This window comes from Homo sapiens, chromosome 11, assembly GCF_000001405.40.
Source record: "Homo sapiens chromosome 11, GRCh38.p14 Primary Assembly".
Classification (NCBI taxonomy): Eukaryota; Metazoa; Chordata; class Mammalia; order Primates; family Hominidae; genus Homo; species Homo sapiens.
This window is the reverse complement of record NC_000011.10, coordinates 109,101,210-109,112,413: the sequence shown is the minus strand read 5'-3', so window position 1 is coordinate 109,112,413 and position 11,204 is coordinate 109,101,210. Positions and strand designations below refer to the sequence as shown.

The 11,204-nt window shown below is 38.9% G+C and overlaps 2 annotated features.

The window, feature by feature from the left end:
- Positions 2,858–3,152: a silencer, noted in NCBI's record as "tiled region #3267; HepG2 Repressive DNase matched - State 9:DNaseU". NCBI's record gives its function as "represses a minimal TATA promoter and a strong SV40 promoter by Sharpr-MPRA in HepG2 cells {active_cell/tissue: HepG2}" and the evidence as "EXISTENCE:reporter gene assay evidence [ECO:0000049][PMID:27701403]".
- Positions 5,553–6,471: an enhancer, noted in NCBI's record as "OCT4-NANOG-H3K27ac-H3K4me1 hESC enhancer chr11:108976670-108977588 (GRCh37/hg19 assembly coordinates)". NCBI's record gives its function as "activates a minimal SCP1, AML or CMV promoter by ChIP-STARR-seq in naive H9 embryonic stem cells {active_cell/tissue: H9 hESC(naive)}" and the evidence as "EXISTENCE:reporter gene assay evidence [ECO:0000049][PMID:30033119]".

The following is an 11,204-nucleotide window of genomic DNA, read 5'->3' as shown; positions in this document are numbered from 1 at the left end:
GAGGTGCCAGCTTGTACTGTGGGGCCCTGGAGGGCAGAGACTCTGTCATTCCAAGGCTGAGAAACTGCTCTTTGCCAGGCAGGATGCTGAAAACAAAGATACAAAGATGGAATGAAAATGGGACCCTGCTCTAGGACCCCTTGAATCTAACAAAGGAGATAGACCAGAGATAGAGAAAGAGTGTCAGCTAAGAGAAAACACTACGGCACCAGAGTGTGATGCTTTGAATAGGGCAATCTCTGACTGTTCTGGATCAGAAAGTGCCTGCCCTGGGAGAAGCTTCTAGGAAGAAATCATGCCTTAGCCCACAGGCCAACACATGGATCATTCAAAAGACCTCTTCTCAGAAATTCACAGTGTGTATCCATTGTTATTTAACATTTGAGACCCTGCAAGCTTTTCTTTTTCTATTTCTTGTTTGTTCATACATTATCCTTAACAATATGTGTATGCCAGATGTGTGGGGAGTTTAAAAATTCACTGACAATGAAGAGGGTGGGGGCAGGGGCCAGAAGATTTTGATCAATCAAGATGAGAATGGCCCCTGTTTTTTAAAGTTTATTTTTAATAATAATATTTTTTTGGAAAAAACAACACAAAGAAAGCGAATGTAGATACAACCCAAAAAGCCCCATGGACTTTGAGGCATAGTTGCTGGCATTCTTGGTTTTAGACCAAACAAAGTAAATAACACAAAGAATTATCAAAAATCATTGAAGCCAGAAAACACTTTATTGATGACTAATACTGTGTTAGTTTCTTAGGGCTGCTGTAAAAAAAGTCCCACAAACTGGTTGACTTAAAACAGACATTTCAAGAAACAACAGAGGCTGGCGAGGCTGCAGAGAAATAGAAATGTTTTTACACTGTTGGTGGGAATGTAAATTAGTTCAACCATTGTGAAAGACAGTGTGGCAATTCCTCAATGATTTAGAATTGGAAATACCATTTGACCCAGCAATCCCATGACTGGATATATACCTAAAGGAATACAAATTATTCTGTTACAAAGATGCATGCACACACAGGCTCAATGCAGCACTATTCACAATAGCAAAGACATGGAATCAACCCAAATCCCCATCAATAATAGGCTGGATTTAAAAAATGTGGTACATATACACCGTGGAATACTATGTAGCCATAAAAAGGAATAAGATCATGTCCTTTGCAAGGACATGGATGAAGCTGGAAGGCATCATCCTCAGTAAACTAACGCAGGAACAGAAAACAAAACACCGCAAAACAAAACAAAAAACACTTATATGTTCTTACTTATAAGTGAGAACTGAAGAATGAGAACACATGGACACAGAGAGGGGAATGACACACACTGGGGCCTGTGGGGGGGTGGGGTGGGATGAGGGGGGAGAGCATCAGGAAAAAGAGCTAATGCATGTTGGGCTTAATACCCAGGTGATGGGTTGATAGGTGCAGCAAATCACCGTGGCACATGTTTACCTATATAACAAACCTGCACATCCTGCACGTGTACCCTGGAACTTAAAATTTAAAAAAACAGGCAAACATTGATTCTCTCACAGTTCTGGAGATGAAAAGTCTGAAACCAGGGTGTCTGCAGATGTGGTTGCTATTTTTGGGGTACTGAGGGAGAATCCATCTCCCAGCTTCTGCTGGTTGCCGGTAGTCCTTGGAGTTCCTAGGCTTGTAGCTGCATCGCTTCCACTTCCACCTCCGTCTTCACATGGCCTTCTCCCCTGTGTGTCTCTGTGTCCAGAGTTTCATCATCATAAAAGGTCACCAATCAATGGATTAAGGTCCACCCTAATCCAGAATGACCTCATACTAACTGATTACATCTCCAAATTAGGTCACATTGACAGGTCCTGGGGGCTAGGACTTTAACATATCTTTTGGGGGGACACATTCAACCCACAGCAAATACCCACTAGCCCTGCTCACTTTTCATCTCAGCCACTGATGATTTACCAAAGATTAGTCACTCATTGACCAACACTCAATCCAGGGAAATGTGGCAAAGGCAAAAGATTAAAAAGCCAGGAAATATCCTTGCCATCTCTCTCCTCTTTTTTTTTTTTTTTTTATCCTGAAGATTGCCTGGGAACTCTCACAACAGTAAGGTACCTATATATTTGGCAGTAAACGAAGAGGAAAAGGTTCTTTTCTGATCTTTTAGCTGGACAGGTGTGTGAGCTATCCACCATTCTCCTCTCTAAAATGGATGTGTATGTGCGTAGTGCATTACATTTGAGCATGATAAATCTGAAATGGTTCTGTTGTGGTTTCTCTCTTTGTGCTCACATTTGTCTTCTTTCTACAGACTTGGCATTCTAGTGTATCAGACATCCTGAACAAAATGTCCAGTTCTTACTCAGCACCACGTTTTGGTAGATAAGAGGTGAATGAAATGCTAAAAGTAATATATAATTTGCTCTCAACAAACGGCAGAAGGAATAATACAGCAGTGATATTTTATAAAGGAAAGACTAATTACACTGGGAACCAAACATAGCAAGGATCCCATTTTAATCTTTCATAACGAAAAATGTCACTAACACATCTGGGTGCTTTTTCTTGTTCTTAATAGTAGCTTGAAATAGTGACAGTTGGGGAAGCTGTACTATAGTTGTCCCAAAGTTTGATTTATAATCAGTCACCTTCCATTTGGCAGCAGCTTATGAGGAAGCAGCATTAGTGAGAAGTCTGGCAGATTTTGCCCTTGAGGTTAAGATATTAAACAAAAATGAAAACTAATCTATCTTCAGATGGAAGTATGGTACTTAAAGTGGAGTGTTTAGGAGACAGTCTTGTAAAATGTTTCTCTTTCAAAATGATTTTATTAGAGTAATTAAAAATGCAGGAAATGATACCATCTTTCAAAAGTTGCATAAAAGCTCTGTTTTAATCTCCCTTGCTCTCTGGAGCTAGATAAATCTATATATAGCCATTCCTGGTATACGCTTCACTCATTAGCTCCATATATAGATCCAGATAGAATATTCACTGTGAACATAGGTCACGCTGTGTTCACAGGAGGATTGCTTTTTAAAACCTTGAAACTATATGCTTCTTTTGATAGTTCACATAGATGGCCTTGGGAAGTGAGAAGTCAGAGGTCACCTTTGGGTCCCACAGCCATGTCTTTATTTACTTATCCATTCAACAAATATTTGCTGAATATCTATGACACGTAGAACCCATTTTTGTGGGTTTAACAACAACAAAAAGAAAAGGTCTCTGTCCTCCAAGATCTTATAATAAGGGAAGAAATATACAATTCTACTTTTGGCAGTGTGGCAGCCTATACCACGCCTATATAATAAAAAGAGCCTTCTTATTACAATATAAGAAGCTACAGTATAAGCAACGAAAGCAAACTTTGAAATATAGTGTTGATCTCTAAGAAAGTAACAGAATTCGGCCAGGCGCAGTGGCTGTCGCCTGTAATCCCAGCACTTTGGGAGGCCGAGGTGGGCGGATCACGAGGTCAGGAGATGGAGACCATCCTGGCTAACACGGTGAAACCCCGCCGGTACTAAAAATACAAAAAAAATTAGCCGGGCGTCGTGGTGGACGCCTGTAGTCCCAGCTTCTTGGGAGGCTGAGGTGGGAGAATGGCATGAACCCGGGAGGCGGAGCTTGCAGTGCGCCGAGATCGCGCCACTGCACTCCAGCCTGGGCGACAGAGTGAGACTCCGTCTCAAAAAAAAATAAAATAAATAAAAAATAAAAAATAAAGAAAGTAACAGAATCCTCATAGAGAGAACTGTAAGGTCAGGGTAACCAGGAGCTTTGAGTTTTCAGATTATGAAAAAGGCAACAAGAAATTAGTCCTTTCCGGAAATTTTGACCTGGAGTCTGTGGACTCCCAAAATATTAATATTTGTGCAAGAATTCAAGGAATCTGTGAACTTATATGGGGAAAAAAATTACATCTGTATTTTCATATGCCTCTAATTAAAATAGGCTTCAATTACAAAAGGTAAGCAACAGAGCATAGTAATTTCACCAGTAACTACCTTTGCCTCCAAAAGAAATCAGATATTTCATATCACATCACAGTGTTGTAAACTACCTTGAAATGATGACTACACTCATTACTCTTTTGTAATAGTTTTAGGCAAGTAACTAGATCTTATTATTTAATGCATGAATAAGAAGCATATATACTAATATATCACTGTTTTTAGTATTTGATGACTGTACTTCAATGTAATTGTAATAATTTATAATCCTATGTGTTTTATGTACACAAAAACATTTTAAGAAAAGTGCATAGGATTCACTGGATTTCCAAAAGAATCCAGACTTCAGCATTAATGAAAGAATGAGCTGGCTGGGCGCGGTGGCTCACGCCTGTAATCCCAGCACTTTAGGAGGCCGAGGCGGGCGGATCACAAGGTCAGGAGATCGAGACCATTCTGGCTAACACGGTGAAACCCCATCTCTACTTAAAAAAAAAAACAAAAAATTAGCCAGGCGTGGTGGCGGGCACCTGTAGTCCCAGCTACTCAGGAGGCTGAGGCAGGAGAATGGTGTGAACCCTGGAGGCAGAGCTTGCAGTGAGCAGAGATTGTGCCACTGCACTCCAGCCTGGGCCACAGAGTGAGACTTCGTCTCAAAAAAAAAAAAAAAAAAAAAAAAAAAGAATGAGCCAAAAAAAAAATATATATATATATATATAACTTCCAATAATGTGAGCTTATAAGGAAATCTCTGCTATCAACGTGGTAAGAAAAAATTTTTAAAAAATTACCATTGATGATAGCCACCTTTTAAGAATTTATGATCCACAATCATAGGTCTGTTCACTTATAGGTACAGTCAGAGAAATCCCACATCCAGAAAGTAAATTAAAATGTGTCCCAGTTAGTAATACTCTCAGATGTGTGGCAGAAACAAATGTCATTTCTTTCTGATTAAAAGCATCTAAAACTAGGCCCCTAAGGCTTCTTACATGCTATGTTTAAAAAATAATGAGCTGAGCCGGGCGTGGTGGCTCACACCTGTAATCCCAGCACTTTGGGAGGCCAAGGCAGGCAGATCAGCTGAGGTCGGGAGTTCAAGACCAGCCTGACCAACGTGGAAAAACCCCGTCTCTACTAAAAATACAAACTTAGCCGGGCATGGTGACACACGCCTGTAATCCCAGCTACTCCGGAGGCTGAGGCAAGAGAATCGCTTGAACCTGGGAGGCGGAGGTTGCAGTGAGCTGAGATCGTGCCATTGCGCTCCAGCCTGGGCAACAAGAGTGAAACACCATCTCAAAATAATAATAATAATAATAATAAGCTGGATACAGGGATTAAGATGGCAGATAAGAGGCAGGACTAGCTTGCAGCTCCCACTCAAAGGGACAGAGCAGATGTGGAGACTCACATCCTGAACTTTTGTTCCAAGAACAACCACAGGAATATACCAGGAAAGCCAAGATAATCCACAGACCCTCTAAAGGAACTGGATCACCGCTGCAGACTCCCTGAGATGCTGAAACACTGTGAGTTAGCTTGCTTCCTCAGTGGGGAAGCACATAGTCTGGGGCAAGTTCTCAGCCACAGTCACCAACTGCCTGGGAATAGTCTCGGTGCTGTTGAGGGGGCATGGTGAGAGTGAGATTGGCCTTTAGAACTGCCGGCTAGGTGAGAGCTGGGTGAGGCCTGTGACTGCCGGCTTTCCCCAACTTCCCAGGTGACCTGTATGACTCAGCAGAGGCAGCCATAATCCACCTGGGAATATAACTTCATTGGCCTGGGAACCACACCGCCACCTGCAACAGCAGCCACAGCAAGCCCTGCCCAAGGAGAGGCTGAGCTCAGATATGCCTATTCCTGCCCCCTCCTGTTAGTCTTTTTCTACCAGCCCTGGCTGCTGAAGACAAAGGTCATAATCTCTTGGGAGCGCTATGTAGCTGCCCACCACCTGAGAAACCTGAATACTTAACCAGGTGTCCCTAGGGCAAGTTTGCATCCTACTTATAGGGCCACAGCTGATGCACTCTTAAAAGCGCCACCTCCTGATTGGAAGCCAATCAACACAAAACCAGCACACTAAACACAACAAAAGACCCTCACAGAGTCCACTTCATTCCCCTGCTACTTCAACTGGAGCAGGTGCTGGCATCCACGGCTGCAAGACCTGAAGACAGATCACATCACAAGACTCTTTGCAGACACTCCCCAACACCAACCCAGAGCCCGGTAGCCCACTGGGTAGCTAGACAAAGAAGAGCAAAAACAATCACTACAGCTCATCTCTCAGAAAGCCCCATTCCCAGGGGAAGGGGGAGAACACCACATAAAGGGAGCACTCCATGGGACAAAGGAATCTGAACAGCAGCCCTTGAATCCTAGATCTTTCCTCTGATGTACTCTATCTAAATGAGGAGGAACCAGAAAAACAATTCTGGTAGTATGACAAAACAAGATTCTTTAACACCCCCAAAAGATCATACCAGCTCACCAGCAATAGATCCAAACCAAGACAAAATATCTGAATTACTAGAAAAAGAATTCAGAAGGGAAATTAAGCTAATCAAGGAGGCACCAGAGAAAGGTGAAGTCAACTTAAATAAAAAACATGATACAGGATATGAAAGGAAAATTCTTCAGTGAAATATCATAAATAAAAAACAGTCCACTCCAGCCTGGGTGACAGAGTGAGACTCCATCTCAAAAACAACAACAACAACAACAACAACAACAACAAAACATTTGCAACTTCTGGAAATTAAGGGCACAGTTAGAGAAATGCAAAAGGCACTGGAAAGTCTCAGCAATAGACTCAAACAAGTAGAAGAATGAACTTCAGAGTTAGAAAACAAGGCTTTCCAATTAACCCAATCCATCAAAGACAAAAAAAAAAGAATTTTAAAAAAATGAACAAAGCCTCAAAGAAGCTTGGGACTATGTTAAATGTCCAAACCTAAGAATAATTGGTGTTCCCATAGAAGAAGAGAAATGTAAAAGTTTGGAAAATATATTTGAGGGACAAATCGAGGAATACTTTCCTGGCCTTGCTAGAGAGCCATACATCCAAATACAAGAAGCTCAACAATCACCTGGGAAACTCATCACAAAAAGATCATTGCCTAGGCACATAGTCATTATGTTGTCTAAATTCAAGACAAAGGAAAGAATCTTAAGAGCTGTGAGGCAAAAGCATCAGGTAACCTGTAAAGGAAAATCTATCAGATCAACAGCAGATTTCTCAGTAGAAACCCTACAAGCAAGAAGATACTGGGAACCTATTTTTAGCCTCCTTCAACAAAACAATTATCAGCCAAGAATTTTGTAACCAGAGAAACTAAGCTTCACAAATAAAAAAGATGCAGTGTTTTCCAGACAAATGCTAAAAGAATTCACCACTACCAAGCCAGCACTATGAAAACTGCTAAAAAGAGCTCTAAATCTTGAAACAAATCCTCAAAATACACCAAAATAGAACCTCCTTAAAGCACAGGACCTATATAAATATAACACAGTGAAAAAAAGAATGGTATTCAGGCAACAAATAGCACAACAAATAGAATCATACCTCACATCCCAAGAGTAACATTGAATGTAAATGGCCCAAATGCTCCACTTAAAAGATACAGAATAGAAGAATGGAAGAATTCACCAAGTTTCTGCTGTCTTCAGGAGACTCACCTAACACATAAGAACTCACAGAAACTTAAGGTAAAGGGGTGGAAAAGATATCCCATTCAAATGGACATGAAAAGCAAAGAGGATCAGCTATTCTTATATCAGACAAAACAAAGTGTAAAGCAACAGCATGTAAAAAAGACAAAAAGGGACATTATATAATTATAAAAGGACTAATCCAACAGGAAAATATCACGATTCTAAATATATGTGCACTTAACACTGGAGCTTCCAAATTTGTAGAACAATTACTACTAAACCTAAGAAAGAAGATAGAATAGTGGGAGACATCAATATTCTACTGACAGCAATAGACAGGTCATCAAGACAGAAAGTCAACAGAGAAACAATGGACCAAAACTATAACCTACAACAAATGGACTTAACAGATATTTACAGATTCTATCCAATAATTGCAGAAATATACATTCTATTCATCAGCACGTCAAACATTCTCCAAGACAGACCATATGATAAGCCACAAAACAAGTCTCAGTAAATTTAAGAAAATCAAAATTACATCAAGTACTCTATCAGACCACAGTGGAATAGAATTGGAAATCAACTTCAAAAGGAACCCTCAAAACGATGCAAACATATGTATGTAAATTAAATAACCTATACCTAAATGATTGTTGGGTCAACAATAAAATAAAGATGGAAATTAAAAAATTCTTTGAACTGAAAAATAATAGTGACACAACCTATCAAAACCTCTGGGACACAGCAAAAGTGGTGCAAAGAAGAAAGTTCATAGCATTAAATGCTTACATAAAAAAGTCTGAAAGAGCACAAGTAGACAATCTAAGGTCACACCTCATGGAACTGGAGAATCAAGAACAATTCAAACCCAATCTCAGCAGAAGAAAAATAATGAAGATCAGAGCAGAACTAAGTGAAATTGAAACAAGCAAAAAAAAAAAAAAAAAAAAAAAAGATAAATGAAACAAACAGCTGGTTCTTTGAAAATATAAATAAAATTAATAGACCATTAGTGAGATTAACCAAGAAAACAAGATCCAAATAAGCTCAATTAGAAATGAAACAGGTGATATTACTACTGATACCACAGAAATACAAAGGATTATTCAAGGCTACAATGAACAACTTTATATGCATAAACTAGAACACTTAGAGGAGATGGATAAATTCCCAAAAACATACAACCCTCCTAGATTAAACCAGGAAGATCTAGAACCTCTGAACAAACCAATAACAAGGAACAAGATTGAAATAGTAATAAAAAAAAAGCCAACAAAAAAATGTCCAGGACCAGATGGATTCACAGCTGAATTCTATCAGACATTCAAAGAAGAATTAGTACCAATCTTATTGACACTATTCCACAAGATAGAGAAAGAGGGAATCCTCCCTAAATCATTCTATGAAGCCACTATCACTCTAATACCAAAATCAGGGGAGGACATAACAAAAAAGAAAACAACAGACCAATATCCCTGATGAACATACATGCAAAAATTCTCAGCCAAATACTAGCTAAACAAATCCAACAGCATATCAAAAAGATCATACACCATGATCAAGTGGGTTTCATACCAAGGTTGCAGGGATGGTTTAACATACTTAAGTCAATAAATGTGATACACCACATAAACAGAATTTAAAATTAAAAGCATATGATCATCTCTATAGATTCAGAAAAAGGATTTGACAAAATCCAGTATCCGTTTATGATTAAAATTCTCAGCAAAATCAGCATAGAGGGGACACATCTTAAGGTAATAAAAGCCATCTACAACAAACCCACAGCCAACAAGGGTGCCCACTTGCAACACTTCTATTCAACATAGTACTGGAAGTCCTAGCCAGAGCTAGGAGACAAGAGAAAGAAATAAAGAGCATCCAAATCAGTAAAGTGGAAGTCAAACCGTCACTGTTTGATGATAAGATCATATACATAGAAAACCCTGAAGTATCATCCAAAAAGCTCCTACAACTGATAAATGAATTCAGCAAAGTTTCAGGATACAAAATTAATGTACACAAATCAGTAGCTCTGCTATACACCAACAGTGACCAAGCTGAGAATCAAATAAAGAATTCAACCCCTTTTACAACAGCAGCAAAAAAAAAAAAAAAAAAAAAAAAAAACTTAGGAATATACCTAACCAAAGAGGTGAAATACCTCTACAAGGAAAACTACAAGACACTGCTCAAAGAAATCATAGAAGACACAAATGGAAACACATCTCATGCTCATGGATGGGTAGAATCAATATTGTGAAAATGACCATACTGCCAAAAGAAATCTACAAATTCAATGCAATTCCCATCAAAATACCACTCATTCTTCACAAAACTAGAAAAAAAATCCTAAAATTCATATGGCACCAAAAAAGAGCCCACATAACCAAAGCAAGACTAAGCAAAAAGAGCAAATCTGGAGGCATCACATTACCCAACTTCAAACTATAAGGCCATAGTCACCAAAACAGCATGGTACTGGTATAAAAATAGGCACATAGACCAATGAAACAGAATAGAGAACCCAGAAATAAAGCCAAATACAGCCAACTGGTCTTCCACAAAGCAAACAAAAACATAAAGTGGGGAAAGGACACACTATTCAATAAATTGTGCTGGGATAATTGGCAAGCCACGTGGAGCAGAATGAAACTGGATCCTTTCTCACCTTATACAAAAATCAACTCAAGGTGGATCAAAGACTTCAACCTAAGACATAAAACCATAAATATTCTAGAAGATAACATTAGAAATTCCTTCTAGACATTAGCTTAGGCAAAGACTTCATGGCCAAAAACCCAAAGCAAATGCAACAAAAACGAAGATAAATAGATGGGACTTAAACTAAAAAGCTTCAGCACAGCAAAAGAAATAATCAGCAGAGTGAACAGACAACCCACAAAGTGGGAGAAAATCTTCACAATCTATATATCCAACAAAGGACTAATATCCAGAATCTACAAAGAACTCAAACAAATCAGCAAGAAAATATGAACGATTCCATCAAAAATGTTGCTAAGGACATGAATAGAGAATTGTCAAAAGCAGATATACAAATGGCCAACAAACATGTGGAAAAATGCTCAATATCACTAACTATTAAGGAAATGCAAATCAAAACCACAATGCAATACCACCTCATTCCTGCAAGAATGGCCATAATCAAAAAATCAAAAAATAATAGATGTTGGCATGATTGTGGTGAAAAGGGAACAGTTTTACACTGCTGGTGGTAATGTAAACTAGTACAACCACTATGGAAAACAGTGTGGAGGTTTCTTAAAGAACTCAAAGTAGATCTACCATTTGATCCAGCAATCTACATTACTGGATCATTACTAGGTATCTAGTACCTAGTAGGTATCTACCTAGAGAAAAGAAGTCATTATACAAAAAAGATACTTGTACACACATGATTATAGCAGCACAATTTGCAATTGCAAAAATATTGAACCAGCCCAAATGCCCATTAATCAACAAGTAGATAAAGAAAACATTTATATATATTTATTTTCTATTCAACATATATATATATCACATTTATACACACACACACACACACACACACACACACACACAGAGAGAGACACACAC